The following is a 21,342-nucleotide window of genomic DNA, read 5'->3' as shown; positions in this document are numbered from 1 at the left end:
CACCTCCCAAATGGAGCCTTGTCCAAGAGCCCTTGAGCCAGGCACGCCCCCACCATTGTCCTCCGGCAAAGCAAGTCCCCAGTGGGGCGGGAAGGACCTGGTATCTCACACTCACCCATCTCTCCCACCTCCCCTAAACCAGTTCACTGGACAGGCAGAACAGGCAGAGCATGCTGGTGATCGTGACTTGTGGCAACAAGAATTCTTATCGTCGTTGCTTTTAAGTAGATATTCACCTGCAACTGAGTTTACAGGTTCCTATGTACAGTAGCTTCCTCTGTCTCCATTGCTTCCTCCCTGAGAACAGTCCTAGCCCTTATCCTGGGTCGCACAGAGAACAGCTCCAGTCTAATTCCAGAGTTTCTTCTATGGGGCGTGTGCCACTGTGTACCCCCAGAGACCCTGCAGTCTTGGTTCAGAGCCACCTTCTTTTTTTTTTTTTTATTTTTTTAAGATGCGGTCTAGCTGTGTTGCCCAGGCTGGCCTGGAACTCCTGGGCTGAAGCAATCCTCCCACCTCAGCCTCTTGAGTAGCTGGAACTTCAGAGATTCCTTTGCTGTGGAATCTCTGGCAGGAGACGGGGGTTCCCAGATGATTCTGATGTGCTGACATACATTCAGCTGAGGACCACTAACCATGCCTGGAAAGTTCTGGGAAGGCAGGGACTGCCTTACTCATCCTTGAACACCTAGGAAAGACCCTGCACAGGATACAGATGCCCAGAATCTACTTGTTGGCAGGTGAATGTGGCATGTGGACAGTAGTGGATTAGTCACTGTGTGCTCAGCACCATGCAAAGCCCTTTACGAATACGTGCATTTAAGTTTTCCCATAAGACTCTCAGGAGGGCTACAGAATCTCCATTTTACAGATAAGAAAATAAGGTTGCAAAGATGTGGAACCAGCCCAAAGGCCCATCAATCAGCAAGTGGATAAAGAAACTGTGGTATATCTATGATGGAATACTACTCAGTCATAAAAAGGAATGAATTAATGGCATCCACAGCAACCTGGATGGGATTGGAGACTCTTATTCTCAGTGAAGTAACTCAGGAATGGAAAACCAAACATCATATGTTCTCACTCATAAGTGGGAACTAAGCTTTGAGGATGCAAAGGCGTAAGAATGACATAAGGGACTCTGGGGCCTCGGCAGGGAAAGGGTAGGAAGGGGGTGAGGGATAAAAGATTACAAATTGGGTTCAGTGTACACTGCTCGGGCGATGGGTGCACCAAAATCTCACAAATCACAGCTGAAGAAATTACTCATGTATCCGAATACCACCTGTTCCCCAAAAACCTATGGAAATAGAAAATTAAACAAGAAAGTTAGGTTCAGGGAGATGAAGTGACTTTTCCAAGGTAGCCTGACTAGGAAGGGGAGGGTAGTGGATGGTTAGACAGACTGGCACCCACCGGACAGGCAGGACCTAGCCTCACCCTGGGGGCTGTCCCTGCTCGTCAGCACCTGCCCACTGGAGCCACGTGACAGAGGGACACAGCGTAGCCAAGACATTTACAAAGCGAGGATCCTTTGTGCCTGAGTGAAGTGATCCTTTCAAAAATGATCACCAGCTCCCCTTCACCACCTCCGGAGACCAAGTCCTGGCTGATTTTTCCCCGTCTTTATCTCAAGTACATTTAAATGTCAATTAAATTTGAAATATCTACATTTGTCAGCATTTCATTTTGGGCCAGCGTGACGTGCTGCTGATTTGTCCACGCGATGTGACACATGAAAAAAACTCCCGAGATGCAGATCTTCCTCATTAAAAAATAAGCCGGTGCGATCCCGGCGCGGCAGAGAGCATGGAGCACGTCCCTGCTTCCTGACGCCGTGTCTCTGACATGGTATTTAAAAAGGAACAGCCTCGCCTGTCACCACTGTCACACGCGCGCGCTAACCGGCGACACGTTAAACCAAACATTAGAAGGGGTTCGGGAAGTCATCTGCATGGGAACTCCACGCGGAGACAAGGTGGGCAGAGGCGGGAGCAGCCGTGGGGGATGATGGGGTCTGATCCATGACGGACGGCCAGCCTTTCTTCTGCACCAAGACTCTGGCAGCCCTCGCTGGGCAGCCAAGTTTGCCGCAACCTGCCTTTTCACAGACAGCTCTTTGTGTGTAATAAAATCCAGGCAAGTGGTGGGTGGCAGACCGCAGGGGAGTAGCTGAATTGGGTTAATGAGGGAAAAGGTGCTTTTTTTTTTTTTTTTTTTCATATTCTGCCTTAAGCTAATAAAAAGTTTAAGCCTGGACGTTTTCGATGGTTCATCCTTTATCTCTGACAAATATCTGACTGTATGTTTCATGGGAGAACATGGGCAGCTGAATTTAAGTAAGTTTATTTTGAAACCTCACCTTTCATTAAAAGTAAAAGAGGAAACACCCTATCTCTTATTTCGTTGTTTCTGACCCAGAAAACTGAAGAGGCAAGATCCCGTAGTGGTTGAAAGTTGGCAAATCCACATTCAGTTCCTAGCTCTACCTTTAGCTGCTGTGTGACCCTGGGCAAGTGACTCCCCCTCTCTGAGCCTTGGCTACTTTGTCTGCAAAATGGGGTTGCAGTAAAGAATTCATGAGAAATTGTATGGACAGCATTTCGCCCAAGGCTTGTAAGTATCGCCATCCATGTGGCCTGGACTCGACAAAGCTCTGATCTGACCACATCAGATGACAAACTTCTCACCTGGATGTACCCTGCCACTTTCAAGAGACAGGTGGTGTATTCTGGAGACAGCTAGGCCTCCTGTGGAAATCACTGCCCAACCAGCCTGGCTCAGCCAGTACATCCAACTGGAGAAGGAAAGTGGCTCCTGAACTGGAAACTGCGGTTCCCTCTCTTCCCCCGCCCACCACAGTCACACCAGTGTGGAAGCCCCCAGCCCCCTCCACCATCACAGCAGTGTGGGCAGCGCTGGATTGTGACAGTGGCCTGAACTGCGGCAGTTGGATTTAGCAAAGCCAGGGCACAGCCCAGCGCAGAGGTTCCTCGCTCCTGGGTGAAGCCGGAAATTCCTGGCAGGTTCAGTGGCGTTGCACCAACGTGTCAAGCTGTGATCTGTGCTCTCTTGTCAGAGCCAGAGGTGGGGGCCCGTGCTTGGATAGGTGTCGGAAAGGCAACCAAGGTGGACGTGAGGGCGACTGGAGAGCCTCCCTCCATTTGGCCCGAGCCGGGGCTGGTGTCCCCTCGTGTGCATCTACTCCGAGCCCCGCTCACAGGAGAGGGTGAGGCCCCTGGGGGTGGACCATCCGGGCTGCAGTCCCTGTTCTCCACTTCTTGGCCACGTGGTCACCTCTTCACCAGTGATGCCCCAGTGCACAGCTAGCCTGGGTCTGCTCACACCAAGTAGGCTCAAAGCGCCTCTTGGTTGGGTGCACAGATGGACAGATGGATGGGTGGACTCATGAAGCCCTCACCCTCTAGAAAATCAGTATTGCGACACCTTCTTGTTAGGCTCTTGTGAGGGGTAGAAGTGGCCTCTATAAAGCACGGTACCTGCTTGTTGATATCATTTTAAACACTTTCTGCCTGCCCCTACCTACCTGACACCCTCACCTTCAAACATCGTCCCATTCTTCACATCTTAGCATCTCAGAACAGATGGGAGCCCAGAGGGGGAGCACTTTTGTACCACAGCCACAGTCTGGGGAAAGGGGACAGTGTGGTGCAGCTCCAGGAAGATGGTAAAGTGGGGGTTCCCCCAGCAGGCTGGCTTTCATTCATTCGCAAACTTCCACAGCATTCATGCTGTACCCCAGCTGGGGAGAAAGAGAAGAACAAGGCAGGCCCTGCCCTTGAGGAACTTGACTCAGAAACAGAGTGACAAGAGGTTAAATGGTATCTATGAAGTGCGAAGAGGCACAGCCAGGGAGCTCTCCTAGCCTCCAGTGGGCTTCGTAGAAGTCCCGCTGAGCTGAGTCTTCAAGACGGCAGAGCAGTCAGTGCTCCAAGCAAAGGTGACAGGGAGGGGGAATATCCAGGGCCCAGTGTGGTCAAAGACGGTAAGCATGGCCGCAGGGGAGGCCAGGAGAGGGCCACAGAGGTAGGTAGAGCCAACACACAGCATGGAGACTGCCCTGCTCGGAGCTCGGCACGGCCGCTCAGCAGTGCATCCCACGAGCTCCCCAGAGTGCAGCAGAAGCCCACGGCCTGCGCACCCTCTGCCCCTCACCTGCTCAGGAGAGCAGTCAGTGCTGCAGAGTGAGAGTGGGCTCCCCCTCACTTTGAAACAAGTCCCTGCAAATGTCTGAACATTATTATTCCTAACCCTTTGCTCCACAGATTTATTTACTCACCATACCACCAACTGCAGCAAGATCACAATTCAGAATGGCAGATTTATAGGTTTTAGCAGGAGAGTGACAAGTGTGGGTTTGTGATTGAAAGAGACTCTGGTGGCTGTATGGAGGGTAGCCTTTCTGCTCTGTCTTCTTTGCTGTGGAAGTGGCAGGAGCCAGGTGGTGCCCTGGCCCCGAGATTCCTGCAAGTCAGGTCTTCCTGACCTGTCCACTGAGGCGGGAAAATGCCCCCTGGACCAGAGCCCCCTCGAGTCCAGGAAGGGCTGAGTTGTGTCTTGCCCCGACAGCCAGCAAGGCAGCCTGGGAGCAGAGAAAAGCCCAGCACTGGGACTCGCTGCCTCCTGTTGTGTAACCCTGGGCTACTGGCTTCCCCTCCTGAGCCTCAACCTCCACTGCAGTTCGAGGACAAAACTCTTTGCCTGGCCAGCCTCTGGGAGGAAGTGAGCGTTCTGATGTGCAAGTGCTGGGATGGGCACCAGCCCTGGCGGATTGCAGCAAAGTGCAGGCACAGGCCACCTGCCCCGTCCCCCTGCGCAGCCACTGTCTCTCACTCACCCTCCAGCTGTGGTTCTCATGTCCTTTTTTTGGACACGTTGCCCTTTCCTGAAATAAACCCTCAAAAGAATTCTAGCATACAGAGCAGAGAAGGGAGACGGCTTTAGCTGGGGGCTGGGGGGTGAGGGGAGAGGAGGTAGCCCATGCCAGCCCCCGTGCCCCACATTCTCCCCAGACTTCACTCGCCTCAGAGCAAGCCAGCCCACAGAATGGGGCAGGGGTGTGGAACACCCCGGGTCTGCTCACACCAAGCAGGCTCAAAGTGCCTCTTGGTGGGGTGCACAGAGACACCTACTCCCCAGCACAAGGGCCGGGATTTGAACCCAGATCTGCCTGGTCCAGCTCGCCCCTGCTGAGCACATGGCCTCTGGTGGGCCCTGGTCAGTATATAATTCATGGGAGCCGGGCGTGGAGTTTCTCCAGGCTGTGTATGTGTTGGTGTTTATAGAGGTAGAGCTCACAGGTGGCTGACAAGGGAGATGCATTTTTTATAACAATGAATATTTAATTTCCACATCACAGATGAAAAAGACTCTCTGAAGAGGCATCTGAGGGAAGCTCCAGAGAGCAGCCGCTAATCAGAAAAGGGCCTTCTCGCGAGAGCTCTTCCGCACGGCTCACTTTTTTCTTGAACTTTTTTATTTTTTATTTCTTCCTGCTTATTGGAATAGATATGCTCATTGTAGAAAATGTATAAGACACAGAAAAATAAAAAGCAGCAGAGGGGAAAGAAATCACCCATGATTCCACTGGCTGTTATTGACGTTTAGCCATGAACCTTTCCAGTCTTTTTTCTATGAATTTTTCCATAAGCAGATGACAGCGAATGTGGTGTGATTGCAGTTCTGCATCCTGATCTTTAAATTTGTCTTCATAAACATTACGTTTCATGGGAGGACAAGATTCAGCCACTGCACCAGCTAGTTGTTGCTGACAGTGTAGGTTGTTCCATGTTTTAATATTATAAACAGCAGTGATGACAATCTTCCAGTGTGATTCTTTGCCAACTTTGAGGGTTAACCAAATGGAAGTGGAATTACTAGGTCCTATGTGATGGATCATGAGTTTAAGGCTCTGGACACGTGGCAAATTTAGTTTCTTTTCTATCTGGAACGAGCTTCCTCTCCTGAGAGCCCCCACCCCAGGCTGGCACACAGAGGCAGGGCCAGGCGTGGAGCCCAGAGGCCTGCTTCCCGCCTGCACGTGAAGTTCTGAGGGCGCCCCTAACTGCCTGTTCTCTTCTCTTTTGTCTTCCTCTGCCCCAGCCTGGTAAAGCCCTTGCGACACTATGCGGTCTTCCTCTCCGAAGACTCCTCTGATGATGAATGCCAGCGGGAAGAGGGCCCGAGCTCTGGCTTCACCGAGAGCTTTTTCTTCTCCGCTCCCTTTGAATGGTCTCTCCTTCCTTCTTCCATTTCCCTGAGCTCGGCTTGGTGACTCTGCGGGGCTGCATGGCGAAAGCGGGGGGCTGGTGCTGCTTGCCTTTGTGTCGGGGGGAGGGTGTCTGGAGCTGCTGCCTGCCGGTGCCCCAGTGCCAACATGCAGGGTGGACACCACCTCTGCGTGCCACCTCTCAGGGCATCCGTTTTGCCAGCTCCACAGAGGCTGTGACAATAGAGAGGTGACAGGGTGATACGCGAGCATTGGTCCCCTTAGAGATGAAATGTGCTTGATTGCTAGTGGAACTGGTGACTACAATTAGCCTGGTTGTTGATCTCCAAGTCCTTCTTTATCTCAGCACATCTTGGAAAGCCATGGAGATGGGAATCAGAGTTTAAGTTAAAAAAGAAAACGTTCCTCATATGAAATGTGTATATTAAATGCCAGCCTATCCAAGTGTTCTGATCTGCCTGACTTTTTAAAGATAATTTAATCATTATTATTTATAGCCTAAGCCTCATACCAATTACAAGTAGCGATTTTTAAAAGTTTCACCCACCATCCAGCCACCCCTAAGATTAAGCTGCTGTCGCCCTCCTTCCTTTACCCGTTCTTGCCCCTCCACCCACAAGTGTTTCAGAGCTGGCATTGAGCAGAGAGACAGCTTTTGTCTGTCTGCCCTTGTTAACACGGTTATGTGTTTTTAATGGGAGCCTTTAAGGGAATGGAAACTGCCCTTTGCGGGATGCCCGTGGTGCCCACAGCAACCTTCCAGGGGGCACGTTAATCGTTTTGGTCATTGCACAGAAGAGAGATGCCTTTCCCTCCCTCTCCCTCATGTCCCCTGCACCCTCTCCCTGTTCCCAAACCCCAGCATCAGGTCCCTCCCCCTGGGATGGCCTGTGGGTTCCTCTGGGGACCTTATAAACCCCAGGCTGCTTGGCCCTCTGTCATTGACCCCACAGGGTCAGAGGGTCCTGATCCTTTCCTGCCAGCAGGTCACTGGGGACCCAGACAAGTCACTCCCCTCCCAGTGTCCTCACTTAGAAAGTAGTGGCCTTGCCAAGCGCAGTGGCTCACACCTGTAATCCCAGCACTTTGGGAGGCCAAAGCGGGCGGATCACTTGAAGCCAGGAGTTCGAGACCAGCCTGGCCAACATGGTGAAACCCCATCATTACTTAAAAACTACAAAAATTAGCTGGGCATGGTGGCTCACACCTGTAATCCCAGCTACTCAGGAGGCTGAGGCACGAGAATCACTTGAACCCGGGAGGCGGAGGTTGCAGTGAGCCGAGATCACACTGCTGTACTCCAACCTGGGTGACAGAACGAGACTCTGCCTTTAAAAAAAAAAAAAAAAAGAAAGAAAAGAAAGTAGTGGCCTAAGCTGGTGTCATCCAAGCATCACACGTCACTTTTGCTGTATGTCAAATCTTTGTTTCGATTTTTTTTCAAAAGATTTTAAAATTAGCCTTCTCCTAAGCAATAATATCTATGATGTCATAGGCGTAATGTATTAGTTATTATTTCTGTTGCTAATTAGAACAAAAAGAGAACCTTTAGCATAAGAAATGTTCATCTATGTGTCAATTTAAAACACCTTTTGGGAAAAGGCACCCTGCTCCCAGCCAGGAGTCCACCAGGTCATGTCCAAGGCCCAGCTCCATCATATCGTCTCTGAACTAACTGGCGCCTTAATTATTTAAATAACGGCGAGGGCTCGCTTCCTTAGCCCATGACCTTAGAAGTCAGTACAGGCCTTTGTGTGTGTGTTTGAAAAGAAACTAGCCCATCCTAACTCAAAATGGGCTCAAAAGAACACTATTTCCTGAAGTTCCAGAAGCACACTGACTGACTTTAACCCTTTCATTGTGCTCATCTTTATTAAAGGGTCTCTAATTCCTTGGTCAGGGTGAGTGAGGGACGTTTGAAGCCTCTCAAGCTTGGCTTCCATTTCCACCTCTTGCGGGTGCTGTGTGACATAGGTGAGTTATTTAACATCTCTGAGCTTCATTCCTCATCCATAAGGTGGGGGTGTAAGTCCGACTTCCTGGCCTGCTTGCATTGCTTCAGCGAGAGAGTACATGATGGAGTCCCTGCCCATCACTGGGACTGTTTGATGAGCCCTCCCATGTCCCCCACCCTGGTGCCTTCACTGTGATCCTACCCTTGACCGCCAGGTGGTGCCCTTCCCCCACTTTACCAGTGCCACGGGCACCATCTCCGCCTGACGTAGGGCCACCACCAGCCCCAGACTTGGGGTTAGAAGAGGTGAGATGTGGCCAGGCGCAATGGCTCACACCTGTAATCTCAGCACTTTGGGAGGCTGAGGCGGGCAGATCACGAGGTCAGGAGTTCGAGACCAGCCTGGCCAACATAGTGAAACCCCGTCTCTACTAAAAATACAAAAAATTAGCCAGGCAAAAGGCAGGAGCCTGTAATTCCAGCTACTCAGGAGGCTAAGGCAAGAGAATTGCTTGAACCTGGGAGGCAGAGGTTGCAGTGAGCCGAGACTGCGCCATTGCACTCCAGCCTGGGAGACAAGAGTGAAACTCCGTCTGAAAAATAAAAATATAAAAAAGGCTAGATGCACTTCCCACTGGGGCTCCACTAGAGGTAAGGGTTGACCCAGGCGCTGCCTCTCCATCTACCCAGTGGTGCCCTGGGACTCAGGTCCATGGGAAGGGAAGGCAAGTGGAACCCTTTGTTAACTATACTTGGATCAGCTGCAAAGTAGTGGTGTGGGGTTTTTTGTTTGTTTTTTTGTTTTGTTTTGTTTTTTGCTTTTTTGTTTTGAGACAGGGTCTCGCTCTGTCGCCTAGGCTGGAGTGCAGTGTTGTGATCTTGGCTCACTGCAACCTCCACCTCCCAGGTTCAAGCAATTCCCATGCCTCAGCCACCCGAGTAGCTGAGACTACAGGCACGCACCACCACACCCCGCAAATTTTTGTGTTTTTAATAGAGACAGGGTTTCACCATGTTGGTCAGGCTGGTCTCGAACTCCTGAACTCAAGTGATCCGCCCGCCTCGGCCTCCCAAAGTGCTGGGATTACAGGCGTGAGCCACCGTGCCCAGCCAATGACTGCAAGGTTTTGAATGTGTAAAAGTACAGAAAGCTGCTAGCAGAAGAGCCTGTGTGACAGCCGTGCTCACTGGTGGGCGATGGATGCTGTAACCAACCCGTGCGTGTCTGCTGTGTGCCGGGCACCGCATTTGCTCATGTAACCACCACCACCACCTGAGCACCTGAGGCTCAGAGAGTTAAGTGACCTGCCAAAGGTCCCACAGCAAGAAATAGCATGACCAGAGGTGGAACCAAGGTTAGCAGGGCAAGCTTAGGCCCAGACAGCTCCCCTGGAGAGCTTCCCCAGCCCAGTTCCCCATGGGCTGTTCACAGAACCTGACTGTGGCTGTGCCTAGGCCACCAAACAAACAGCAGAGCAGGGCGGGAGCAAGAGGAGCATGACTGCTGGCCTGTGAGCCCCCTTCCAGTCCTGTCTGTTCCTCACACCTTGTCTGAATGGCTCACAAGCCCAGTAGCCAGTTTTATGAAAGGACCTGTAGTTTGGGGGGCACTAAATGGGTCCCCTGAGTGCAAGTGAGAGCCAAAGCGAGTTGCCCTGGTTCACAGCCCCAGGCCCATCGGCATGCCCAGCTTGCACCCTCGCAGCCTCCCAGACTCCTGCCCTCACGGAGACCCCGGGACACTCTCCTGTCCCGCAGGCCCCTGCGTGCACCCCTCAAGCCCTCAATGTGCTTGGGCTGGAGTCCGCTTGCTCCTCCCCTGAAGGCCTGGGTGGGAGAGTGCAGCCTGCTCTGTCCCCGACAGGCCGCAGCCGTATCGGACACTCAGGGAGTCAGACAGCGCGGAAGGCGACGAGGCAGAGAGTCCAGAGCAGCAAGTGCGGAAGTCCACAGGCCCTGTCCCAGCTCCCCCTGACCGGGCTGCCAGCATCGACCTTCTGGAAGACGTCTTCAGCAACCTGGACATGGAGGCCGCACTGCAGCCACTGGGCCAGGCCAAGAGCTTAGAGGACCTTCGTGCCCCCAAAGACCTGAGGGAGCAGCCAGGGACCTTTGACTATCAGGTATGGCATGGGCAAGGGAGGGTATCGGCCGGGGGCCGGCACTGTCCGCACACGAGGTGGGATCCCCATGTGACAGTGGAAGAGACTAAGGGAGAAACAGTGACTTTCCAAGACCCTCAGCCAATGCTCAGGGTCAGTGTGACTGTAAACACCTCCCAGGGTGCCGGGGCCCACACCACCCTAACAGTGACGGTAGGAGAAGATGCTAGAGCCCGATGGAAACTTGCCCCACTCTGTGTGTGCATCAGACGGGGGGGCGGGTGCTGCCAGCCACTCTCCTCGCACCCCCAGGCAGGGCTGCAGCCCCTGCTGGAACCGGGATTGCGTCCATCCCTGCCAGGGCTCCTTGGCAGAGCCTGTGGATGCAAGTTCTTGGCTCTGCATTATGAATGCAAATCAGTGTGTAATTCCCACTGTGACGTCTAATCCATCACATCCCCGCTCGGTGCCTCAGTTTCCTCACTTGCAAGTGGGGTCTTCTGACTTTGCATCACTGGGTCACACCGTGGGGTTCACAGAGCTCCAGTCATTCATGAGTGTTCCCTGCTGGGAACGAGGACCTGGGCCAGGAGAAAGGGACTGGCACCCGGGCCGTGTGGCTTGCAAGTGGCAGAGCCAGGACTCCAACTTGGCCTCCTCCTTCCTCCCCAGCCAAGGTGCCTCCTACCAGGCCCTGAGTCTCACTCGCGCCCCCGGGCTTACAGGTGATTGCGGGTGCCTGCGATCTAAAAAGTAAAAAGGGCCAGCCGGTAGCTGGAGTCACTTTCCTAAAACTCCTTGGCAACCGCCACTGGCATAAAGGGACGAGAGCTTTGTCTTGAGTTCCCGGAGCACAGGCTTGGAGTCCCAGCACACGTGGGTCCTCTGCTGGTAACCTGGGGGAGCCCTCAGCTGTTCCAAGTCCGAGGAGCTGATCAGCCACACAACTAGGCCCAGCACACATTCAGCACACAGAAGTGGTGTGGGAATGGGCACACATATGTCCCAACTCAGCCCGTGGTCACTGCCGCCCTCCTTCCCTCCCAACAGAGGCTGGATCTGGGCGGGAGTGAGAGGAGCCGCGGGGTGACAGTGGCCTTGAAGCTTACCCACCCGTACAACAAGCTCTGGAGCCTGGGCCAGGACGACATGGCCATCCCCAGCAAGCCCCCAGCTGCCTCCCCTGAGAAGCCCTCAGCCCTGCTCGGAAACTCCCTGGCCCTGCCTCGAAGGCCCCAGAACCGGGACAGCATCCTGAACCCCAGTGACAAGGAGGAGGTGCCCACCCCTACTCTGGGCAGCATCACCATCCCCCGGCCCCAAGGCAGGAAGACCCCAGAGCTGGGCATCGTGCCTCCACCGCCCATTCCCCGCCCGGCCAAGCTCCAGGCTGCCGGCGCCGCACTTGGTGACGTCTCAGAGCGGCTGCAGACGGATCGGGACAGGCGAGCTGCCCTGAGTCCAGGGCTCCTGCCTGGTGTTGTCCCCCAAGGCCCCACTGAACTGCTCCAGCCGCTCAGCCCTGGCCCCGGGGCTGCAGGCACGAGCAGTGACGCCCTGCTCGCCCTCCTGGACCCGCTCAGCACAGCCTGGTCAGGCAGCACCCTCCCGTCACGCCCCGCCACCCCGAATGTAGCCACCCCATTCACCCCCCAATTCAGCTTCCCCCCTGCAGGGACACCCACCCCATTCCCACAGCCACCACTCAACCCCTTTGTCCCATCCATGCCAGCAGCCCCACCCACCCTGCCCCTGGTCTCCACACCAGCCGGGCCTTTCGGGGCCCCTCCAGCTTCCCTGGGGCCGGCTTTTGCGTCCGGCCTCCTGCTGTCCAGTGCTGGCTTCTGTGCCCCTCACAGGTCTCAGCCCAACCTCTCCGCCCTCTCCATGCCCAACCTCTTTGGCCAGATGCCCATGGGCACCCACACGAGCCCCCTACAGCCGCTGGGTCCCCCAGCAGTTGCCCCGTCGAGGATCCGAACGTTGCCCCTGGCCCGCTCAAGTGCCAGGGCTGCTGAGACCAAGCAGGGGCTGGCCCTGAGGCCTGGAGACCCCCCGCTTCTGCCTCCCAGGCCCCCTCAAGGCCTGGAGCCAACACTGCAGCCCTCTGCTCCTCAACAGGCCAGAGACCCCTTTGAGGATTTGTTACAGAAAACCAAGCAAGACGTGAGCCCGAGTCCGGCCCTGGCCCCGGCCCCAGACTCGGTGGAGCAGCTCAGGAAGCAGTGGGAGACCTTCGAGTGAGCCGGGCCCTGAGGGTGGGGGATGCACCGAGGCCCGAGGGTCCGTCCACTGCTGCGGTTCCGAGGCTCCCCCGCCACTCTCTCTCTGCCCAGGTTCTGCTGGTGGGAAGGGATGGGACCCCTCTCTGCTGCCCCCTCCTCCCCTCCACACTGCCCATCTCTGATGTCTGGCCCTGGGGAATGGCACCAGTTCCAGCCTGGGAATCAACCCAGTTCCTGAGTGCCCATCCCACCCCGCGGTTGCCTCTCCTCGGCACCCTTGATTGGGTTTTGCACTAAAGAGGTCAGCTGGGCCAATGATATTGCTCCAGACCGAGTCCTACCCACCTTCCCCCGGAAGTGTCCCAAGAGGCTCCGAAGGCCTCCCCTCCGAGCCCAGCTCTCCTGTCTCCTCCACAGCCAGGCCCTGCACGCCCACCTCCTCGGACACAGGTGACAGGGTTACCCTCCAGTTTGAGCTCATCTGCACGAGACACAGGTAGCTTGGGGTTGAAGTTAGGACTCCTCCTGGGCTGGAGGATTTACCTGGTGGGGCACTTCCAGACTGTTTCTAGCAATATACACACACGTTCTTTCCTGTGTCTTCACCCCAAAACTTCAGTTGATTCTGACCTGGGAGGATCTGGGGACCAGGGGGTCTTGGGCTGCCTTGTGATACACAGCCCCAGCCACCCTGCACGGGGGCTGCGAGCACCAGCAACTTTGATTTATAGAAGGAAAATGGAAACCCCCATCTGAGTATTTTGGGAGGAGCCCCCAGCCCTCATCCAGCTCTGGCACGCTGATACCTCCAGGTACTCCCCTCACTGTCAAAGCTGGGGCTCAGCCTCTTGTCATCTGGAGCTTTGTGGGCAAAGCTGAGAAGCTGCAACCCAGATTTCAACCCAAAAAGGTCAAGCTGAATGCCTCAGACTGATGTGGAAGGCAGCTGGCCTTCCTGGGTTGGAACGAGGCAGTGGCCCTGAGCCCCTTCTCCAGGGCCAGGTAGAAAGGACAAACTTGGTCTCTGCCTCGGGGAAGCAGGAGGAGGGCTAGAAGCCAGTCCCTCCCCACCTGCCCAGAGCTCCAGGCCAGCACAGAAATTCCTGAGGCCAACGTCACCAAAGTTAGATTGAATGTTTATTATCTTTCTTTTTCCTTTTTACCTTATTGATTTGATGAATCTTGAAATGGATTCATTTCCATAAACCAAGTTAAAGTATGGCCCGACCATTTAAGAAAACAACCATCTGAGACACGCAGGAAATTGTGAGCATTTCGACCCGAGCTCTCATTTCCTATTTGTGAAGGGTCAGACACAGTCTACCCAGGGGTGTCTGGGGGACAAGGGGGTCTCTGGAGATGTCACCCAGGGAGCCCCCTCTATGTCTGAGAGGCTGCCACTGCTGCACATGCTCAGTGAGGCTTGGCGGCCATCCTGGCACATGGCTCTTCCTGGGTCAACCGTGACCTGTCTGGCTCAGGAATGGGCTCTGGCTGCTGGGGGAGCCGTGTCACTCCTGGGCCATGGGGGCACCTCCTGGGCACTTAGGTGTTTCAGCATAGATTCCAGTTTCGCACCCTGGGCAGACCCCCAGGCCCCATCCGGGATAGGGCAGAGGAGGTGCTGGCGGCCCCAGGGAAGGAGGGTGTGTACCCCAAGGCCCCCTGGCTGTGCTGAGGGGCTGGGGTGAGCGCTCCATGTTCACATGAGCACTGCTGCCTCTTCACTTGTGGGACTTTTTGCAAACCCAAGGATGAACTTTGTGTGCATTCAATAAAATCATCTTGGGGAAGAGGCTGGCATCCCCGTGTCCTTGAAGCTTTTGGGTCGGGGAGGCCCCACACGGGCCCGGAGCCATCCTCACCACCTGCTCCTGTAGAGGCAGGGGCCAGGCGCAGAGCAGTTAGGGAAGGAGTCAACTCCCCGCACCCTCCCAAGCCGGTGCCCACTCAGGGCTCTAAGCCAGCTCATGCTCTGCCCCTCACAGACCAGGCACGGGGTTGGGCTGGCAACAGGCCTGCTCAGCCCTGCGGGGGCCATGGGGCAGACTGCAGGCCTCCAACGACGTTGAGGGCACCCAGGAGCCAGGAAAGAGTTCAAGGGGACACCTGGCAAGTCGCCCCCACAGGTCTCTCATTAGCAAGAACAGAGCCTGGGACTCTGCCTCTGTTGGACGCTGGTGTTTGCGGGGAGGCGGGCGGGGGAATGCAGACCAATCGACCACCCCATAGTGAGCGTGGAACATGCCCAGTCACACCACCCACCCCCTCCGACTCGCCCATCATCTGACCATGCCCCCACTTGCAGGACTGACTGACTGACAGGCTGAAAACGACAGGCACGCGGGCCGGGCGCGGTGGCTCACACCTGTCATCCCACACCTATAATCCCAACATTTTGGGAGGCCGGGGCAGGTGGATCACGAGGTCGGTCAGGAGTTCAAGACCAGCCTGGCCAAGATGGTGAAGCCCCGTCTCTACTAAAAGCAGGCACCTGTAATCCCAGCTACTCCAGAGGCTGAGGCAGGGAATTGCTTGAACCTGGGAGGCGGAGGTTGCAGTGAGCCGAGATCTCGCCACTGCACTCCAGCCTGGGTGACAGAACTAGACTCCATCTCAAAAAAAAAAAAAAAAAAAAAAAAAAACAAAAAACAGGCACCCGAACCCACAGGAGCCAGGAAGAGGACAGGGGACAGCCAGCTTTCATCTGCATGTTAGGTTCCACATAAAATATCCTAGGAGTTACAGCTGACACAGGTTTTCCAAATCTCTAACTTAGTAAACTGACCCTGGAACCAGCCGCCTCCTCCCCACGCTCCCAAGGGTTGTAGAGAAAGTTCAGGGAAAGGTGGTCCCACCTCCTACAGGATAAGGACCAAGCAAGCCCCTGAGCCTGGTGTTCAGGGCCCTCTCTATCCCAGCGTCTGCTGACTTCCCAGTCCCATGTCCCAGTCCCCCACGTTGTCACGTGGCTCCCCACATTGGACTGGACACCCATGCCTCTGGGACCCGCCAAAACCAAAAGGAAAAGCTGACTGTCGACCCAAAAGTGTAAACGGATCTACTGGCCTGGGAAGCAGGAAGGATGAAAGGGCACATCTCCAGGTCCATGAAGCTGGAAGGAGGCCAGGCCCTCAGGCAGGTGCCCTTCAGGGATGGGAGGTCACAGTGTGATGGGCATCGCCGGGGAAGGGGCTGGGAGCAAGCAGCAGAGTCTCCTCTGAGTCGGCCTCTGCAGGCCCAGCCCCGACTCAGAGGCAGCGCCAGTGTTCACTGAGCCCCTGTACTCAGCAGACAACCCAGAGGGCTTCCTTCAAGTCCTCTCGCCGAGTCTGTGTAGAGGCAGCCAGTCATCAGGGGAAGGAGTGAGCTCACCAGGCTGCTAGGAAGGACCGGAGCTGGAGAACCAGAGGTGGTCAGGTGAGCTGGGGGGGTTCAGGGCAGGAGAAGGGTTGCTCTGTCATCCTCATCCCAGAAGGACACCCAGACGGTCCTTCCCATCAGACGGCAGTTGAAGACTTCCAGATTCTTTCCCCACTGTCGTCCTCTCTGATCCTCACAACAGCCCTGTGAGGTAGGCAGTGGGTGCCTTCCCCCTTTGACAAATGACCACAGCAGGGTGGGAAGCTCCAGGCAGCCCCTCCTCTGCTCCCTCGGGCTGCTCCGGCTGAGGGGGCGGGTGGGTCTGTGGTTCCCTCGCATGACTGGCTCTGGCTTCTGGCAGACAGACCTGCCTGAAGGGACATTTGTTCTAGGAGCCAGAAGCCCACTCAGCCTCTGCTAGTGGCCTTCCCTGACTTCCCAGCTGCCTCCACAGCAGGAGCAGCCCCCAGAGGCGGGGAAGGAGGTGCCTGGGCAACCCCGGCCTGGCCTCCTGGAGAACATGCAGCCTTGGGCCGCCCCTGCCCTAGGACTGTAATGGTTGACCCCATGGCGCAGCCGCCACCTCCTGGGATCAGCTACACCCATCACAGTCATAGACACACAGTAAACACGGCAGACACGCCCTGGAGCCATGTCAGGACACACTCACACTAGCATCTGCAGACTAACACAGGCCCAGGTACACACTCACACACACACTCCTCCAGATACACACACTCCTGAACACACTGTGAACCCACGTGTGCCCTCCCACGCACAGCCGTACACCTGCCAAGGCGGAACCCCGAGGGTGGGATGGAGAAGTCCGCAGCCTCTCTAGGCCTCTGTTTCCCTGAGTTGCTCCCCTCGTCCTCCATCCAGGATGGGGCAGAGGCAGAGGCAGAGGCTGCCAGCCAAGGGGACACTTCCGTAGCAATGTCCCGAGCCCTGGAAGCAGCTTCCTTGGGTCTCCAGGTAGAAACCATTCAGGACCTCCAGGTGCTGGTGCCAGCAGCCAGGCTGGCCTAGATGAGTCTCTCCTCCGGTGGCACCTTGAGGACACTGTCCATCTCCAGCCGGGCCCCAGCCACCTCCTGCTGGCTTGGGCTGTAGGTGCCCTCAGACTGGCGGCGCTTTCGGGCTGCCAGGATCCCTGAAAGGAGGCCCAGGAGGAGGAGGAGGAGGCAGGCACAGGCTGCAGGTACGGCCACCTCCAGCAGTGGGAATGGCAGCGGCAGGGGCAGGCCCTTCTGCAAGAGACACGACACCGAGGCCTAAGACCGCAGAGAAGGGGAGGACGCCGGGGCCCTCAGAGAGCAGAGAGCGCAGCACAAGGACCTACTCAGAGAAAATCAGAGCTGGGAGCAGGCTGCCCTGGGAGCAGTGAAGACCCAGCCCCAGGGGTATGCAGGCAAGTGCCAGGAAACCACCTGTCACAGCCACTGCTCGGGGAGGCCTATACAACAAAGGAGTTCTGGCTAGAAGGACAGAGATGGGCGTTTATTGAACACCCGGCAGGAGCTAAGCAGGGTGCATGGGTTTCACAGAAGCCTACGAGGGTCTCATGAGGCAGAGCAGGAGCAGGGGCAGGCTGAGCGGCCCCCTGCCACAATAGCAAGGTCAGAATCCACTGGGGCCCACCTGCGGGGGCAGGGTGGCAGGGGGGCCGAGGGGCTGTTATGACAGCTTGTCCCTGCGAGCCTCGGCCCAGGCTTCGGGGAGCCCAGCAAACCTCCCTGGTGTCTCCAGTCACAGGCTCCCAGGATTCCCCATCAAAGCCTCTACATGCCTGGGACTCTGTAGTCCCAGGATGCGAGGATTCCAGAGGCATGGGCTCTGGGACTCACCAGCCTCCCTCTGTACCTCCAGGCTTCCCAGCCCACTGTGACCTGGGTCCTAAAACTTGACAGGAAAGTTCCTCTGGTCCTGAGAGGGTCCTGCCAGCCTCCACCGTTGGACATTTTGAGGGAGGAGCTGTAAAGCCATTTCCTCCCCCTGCCCTGGGGAGGTGGCTGGGTAGGGAAGCCAGAGGCTGTAAAAGTTCAACTTGAAAGGAAACATTCCCCGTAAGCGGAGGGGATTTGTGGTTTATGACCCAGGCTGCCAGAAGCCTGTAGAGATCAAGGCTGCTCCCCAGACTTCCCTTCCAAGCCTCTCCTCGCCAGCACCCACTCCCCCCACCCCGCCCCAGGAAGGGGTGTGGCGGGGAGGTTCACAGCTCCAGCGCCTGCTGCCTTCGTCTGTCCAGGCTCCTCCTGGGCTGAGCCACCCGGGGTTGGGGCCAGCCTGCACAGCGGGCCGAGCCTGCTCCAGTGCGGACTCCCAGGCCCCCTGCCCCTCCGTGTCTTCCTACTCAGGACACTGGCTCAGAAACCCCTGGAGATGAGTCTCCTGGATTCACCAACCTAAATCCCAGAACACCAACATGGCCCTGAGTCCTGGTTGGATTGGCAGAGACCATCTGTCCTCACTGCCACTGCCCTGGGCACTCTGAGGAAGCCGCTGACCCAGCTAGGAGCTTTGTGCTCTTGTCAATAGACGGTGACAGCCCCCAAAGCTCTCCCTGCAGTGGAAATACCTCTTGTGTGGGGGGTGTGGAAGGGACCTGAGGCTCCTCTCACTGCCCCACCCCATGACAGAGTGGCCCAGGAACAGCCCCATGGTGCTGCGCTCTCTCCCCAGCAGCATCTCGCCAAGGGCCCAGCAGGCCACGTCCACGGCCCCTCACCCCTGACAACACTCACCGCCACTTCACAGAACTGGCCGGAGAATCTGGCATTGCAGATACATTCAGACACCCCTCCAGCTGCCCGGCAGGTGCCCCCATTCAAGCAGGGGTTGGCTTCACAGGGGAGAGTGGGGACCTGACACCTGGAGAGGGAGGGGGGCTGAGAAAGCGGCTTCCCCCATGGCTGCCTCTTGTGCTCCCAGCTGCTCTGCTGCCCATCCCCACTTCAGCAAGCATCAGAGCTTATCCATCCACTGTCCCCATGCGCTGCTCCTGCCCAGCTGGGCCCTGCCAGGTGACCACCTGAGCAGCCGTCACTGAGAAGGACTCTCATCCCATTAGGGTGACGGGAGCCTGTGTGAAGGCAGGTGCCCCAGACGCTGACGCCACTGTCTGCAGGGCCCAGAATCTGCACTTTTATGGTCTCCCACAGGCGGGCTGAGGCTGGGTTTCCAGAACTGCCACCAGGCAACCACTGCCCAGCAGCAGTCTGTATCACAGAGGATGGTCTTGCGAGTCATGGAAGGAAACTCAAGTGACAATGGTGACTGTGATACCAGGGAGGGGTGAGAAGGTGGGCGAGGACCCCCGCCCCACCCTGGCTGGAGGAACAGCCCTCCACATTCATTGGACCTCCTCACAGTTCCCAGGCCCCCAGACCCACCTCTGGCCAGCAAGACCCTCCAGGCAGCTGCAGTTGGCAGCGGGAGAGCCACCCTCACATGGGCTGCCATCGAGGCAGGTGACATTCAGGCTGCACTCCTTGGATGGGACAGGCAACCTGGGGAGAGAGCAGAGGCTGGAGTGGGTGCAGGACACCTGGGACCTGCCCTCCCCAGCGCTGTGACCGTGGGCCACCTGAGCTTGTGTTCTCATGTATGGAACTCAGGGCCTTCCTCTATTGGGCATGGGATTGAGGTCCCTGATGGGAGGGAAGGGACACAGGGTTGCACTCGCTTTCCAGAGTCTCAGAGGACTCAGGACAACAAAGTGTAAGGACTCTGAACAAAAGCAGCTCCTAAACACAACGCCTGGACATTCCTTGAGGGGAGAGGGAGGGGTCAGGCCACAGCCAGATCCCCTTCCACACGCTGGGCTCCCGGGAGAGCCACTGCCAGATGAATAAGGGAAGCGCCAAAGCCTGACCCCCTCCCTCCACCCCAACCAGCCACCAATAGGGATGAACCTCCGTGTAAGCGGCAGGCGGCTCCCAGCCCCAGACCACAGCGCTGTTTATCTGAAATTCCAGGCTAACTGGTTGTGTTTTGATCTGTATTTTATCAGGAAATTTATCAAATTAAACTGTCCTCCTCATGTCACAGATAAGGACATGAGGACCAGGGAAGGGAAGCGACTCATCCACAGACCTGGCAGACTTCTCTGCCCCACCATAGCCCCAGGGGGCATTCGCAGCCCACCCCCCTGCCCAGCCATCCCACCTGCAGCGCGGGCCCCCGAAGCCAGGCGGGCAGCGGCACTCGAAGCGGCCGTCGGGGTGCGTGTGACAGCGGCCACGGGCGCAGGGGGCGGAGTGACAGGGGTCGACGTGGGCTTCGCAGCGCGGGCCTTCCCACCCCGGGCCGCAGGCGCAGGCAAAGGCGTCGAAGAGGTCACGGCAGGCACCGTCGTGCAGACAGGGCGAGGGCGCACACACGGGCGCGCCGCGGCAGCCGAGGATCGGGGCCGGCGTCCCAGGCCAAGACGCGAAGTGCTCTCGGGCGCCAGGGGCCGCGCCGGGCCGGGGCCGCGCCAAGGGCAGGGGCAGGCCGCCCAGCGCCACGCGGCCCAAGCAGCCGGTGAAGTTCTCAGCCAGCAGGATGCGCACAGCACCCGGGCCCTGCAGGAAGCCCAGGTCACTGGCCAGGCCGCGCAGCGCCACCGGGGTGGCGGCACCATCCAGCCACAGCAGCCAGCGCGAGGTGGTGGCCGCCGGGCGCTCCATGGCCAGACGCACGCGGTGCCAGGCACCATCGGCCACGCGCGGCCCCGGTATGGGCAGCACAGCGCCGGGCAGGCCATGGCCTCCGCGCACGCCCCCCGCCAGCGAGCCATTGCGCACCGCCAGCCACACGCCTTCCAGGGCGCCCGCCGCGGCACGCAGCAGCCAGGCCTCGGAGTCGCGCGTGCGAAAGGCCAGCGACAGGCCGCCGAGCAAGCGCCCTGACGACGCGTTGTGCCCGCTGAACGCGGCGGGGGGACCCTCGCGGAACGTGGCCTCCGCCACACCTGCGGAGAGAAGGAGCCTCAGGGAATAGCCCACGGAGCCTTCTCCAGAAATGCCACCTCCCCACTTCCCCCAGCGAGTGGCAGACAGCCACTTACTTGGGGTGGGGCACACGCACCCACCTATCATCTAATCCTGGAAACTGCAGCCGCCCCCACCACCCTCACTTCTACTCCCAATGTATTTCCTACCCATGGAGGAGCAGTTCCCGGCCAGTGCTGGGGGGTGGGGCGTGATGCCTAGGCGACCCTCCAGGTCACAAGCCAGGCAACAGCAACTCCTGGCAGAATCTGGCCCCTTCCCTTCTCCGTGAAGCTGCCCCACCTCATGGCCGAGGCTTGCCCTTCACTGCAGCCAGTCATCTTTGTAAAATGCAGATCTGGTCATGCCCCTCTCCTGTTTAAAACCCTCCAGAGGCTCCCCACTGTCCTTGGGATAAAGTCAGAGCCGCCTAGCTGGGTGTCCTCAAAGCCCCTACCAACTTTCCCACCCCATT

General features: G+C 57.1%; 2 protein-coding genes across 35 annotated transcripts in view, besides 6 other annotated features; one reads left to right on the top strand and one right to left on the bottom strand.

Moving 5' to 3' along the window:
- The window catches only part of DENND1A (DENN domain containing 1A), a 550,469-nt gene extending 536,145 nt beyond the window's left edge, over positions 1-14,324 (top strand). For 13 of the 27 annotated variants that reach the window (NM_001352965.2, XM_024447622.2, NM_001400449.1 and 10 more), the window contains 3 exons: positions 6,124-6,252; positions 10,069-10,327; positions 11,357-14,324. In NM_001352965.2, the coding sequence (NP_001339894.1) occupies positions 6,124-6,252; positions 10,069-10,327; positions 11,357-12,550 (1,582 nt within the window). In that variant the 3' untranslated portion in view covers positions 12,551-14,324. Of the gene's footprint in view, positions 1-5,380; positions 5,842-6,123; positions 6,253-10,068; positions 10,328-11,356 lie in introns of those variants that run through there. The other 14 variants (XM_047423624.1, XM_047423622.1, XM_047423625.1 and 11 more) reach the window with 3 other exon arrangements.
- Positions 6,713-6,908: a silencer, noted in NCBI's record as "fragment chr9:126149353-126149548 (GRCh37/hg19 assembly coordinates)". NCBI's record gives its function as "represses an EF-1alpha promoter that drives an FKBP-Casp9 reporter gene in an ReSE screen in phorbol 12-myristate 13-acetate-treated (for megakaryocytic differentiation) K562 erythroleukemia cells {active_cell/tissue: K562(+PMA)}" and the evidence as "EXISTENCE:reporter gene assay evidence [ECO:0000049][PMID:32094911]".
- Positions 8,262-8,331: an enhancer, noted in NCBI's record as "active region_28941". NCBI's record gives its function as "activates an Ori minimal core promoter by ATAC-STARR-seq in GM12878 lymphoblastoid cells {active_cell/tissue: GM12878}" and the evidence as "EXISTENCE:reporter gene assay evidence [ECO:0000049][PMID:35858748]".
- CRB2 (crumbs cell polarity complex component 2) overlaps positions 13,656-21,342 on the bottom strand; it is a 26,262-nt gene continuing 18,575 nt past the window's right edge. For 7 of the 8 annotated variants that reach the window (XM_011518558.4, XM_011518557.4, NM_173689.7 and 4 more), the window contains 4 exons: positions 20,062-20,848; positions 19,287-19,403; positions 18,639-18,765; positions 15,229-17,144 (listed from right to left, as the gene is read on the bottom strand). In XM_011518558.4, coding sequence (XP_011516860.1) covers positions 16,920-17,144; positions 18,639-18,765; positions 19,287-19,403; positions 20,062-20,848 — 1,256 coding nt within the window. In that variant the 3' untranslated portion in view covers positions 15,229-16,919. Of the gene's footprint in view, positions 14,020-15,228; positions 17,145-18,638; positions 18,766-19,286; positions 19,404-20,061; positions 20,849-21,342 lie in introns of those variants that run through there. The other variant, NR_104603.2, reaches the window with a different exon arrangement.
- Positions 14,045-14,544: an enhancer, noted in NCBI's record as "H3K4me1 hESC enhancer chr9:126141717-126142216 (GRCh37/hg19 assembly coordinates)". NCBI's record gives its function as "activates a minimal SCP1, AML or CMV promoter by ChIP-STARR-seq in naive H9 embryonic stem cells {active_cell/tissue: H9 hESC(naive)}" and the evidence as "EXISTENCE:reporter gene assay evidence [ECO:0000049][PMID:30033119]".
- Positions 14,545-15,046: an enhancer, noted in NCBI's record as "H3K4me1 hESC enhancer chr9:126141215-126141716 (GRCh37/hg19 assembly coordinates)". NCBI's record gives its function as "activates a minimal SCP1, AML or CMV promoter by ChIP-STARR-seq in naive H9 embryonic stem cells {active_cell/tissue: H9 hESC(naive)}" and the evidence as "EXISTENCE:reporter gene assay evidence [ECO:0000049][PMID:30033119]".
- Positions 17,042-17,659: an enhancer, noted in NCBI's record as "H3K4me1 hESC enhancer chr9:126138602-126139219 (GRCh37/hg19 assembly coordinates)". NCBI's record gives its function as "activates a minimal SCP1, AML or CMV promoter by ChIP-STARR-seq in naive H9 embryonic stem cells {active_cell/tissue: H9 hESC(naive)}" and the evidence as "EXISTENCE:reporter gene assay evidence [ECO:0000049][PMID:30033119]".
- Positions 17,660-18,278: an enhancer, noted in NCBI's record as "H3K4me1 hESC enhancer chr9:126137983-126138601 (GRCh37/hg19 assembly coordinates)". NCBI's record gives its function as "activates a minimal SCP1, AML or CMV promoter by ChIP-STARR-seq in naive H9 embryonic stem cells {active_cell/tissue: H9 hESC(naive)}" and the evidence as "EXISTENCE:reporter gene assay evidence [ECO:0000049][PMID:30033119]".

Source organism: Homo sapiens, chromosome 9, assembly GCF_000001405.40.
Source record: "Homo sapiens chromosome 9, GRCh38.p14 Primary Assembly".
Lineage (NCBI taxonomy): Eukaryota > Metazoa > Chordata > Mammalia > Primates > Hominidae > Homo > Homo sapiens.
The sequence above is the reverse complement of the archived record's forward strand: the minus strand, read 5'-3'. Positions and strand labels throughout refer to the sequence as shown.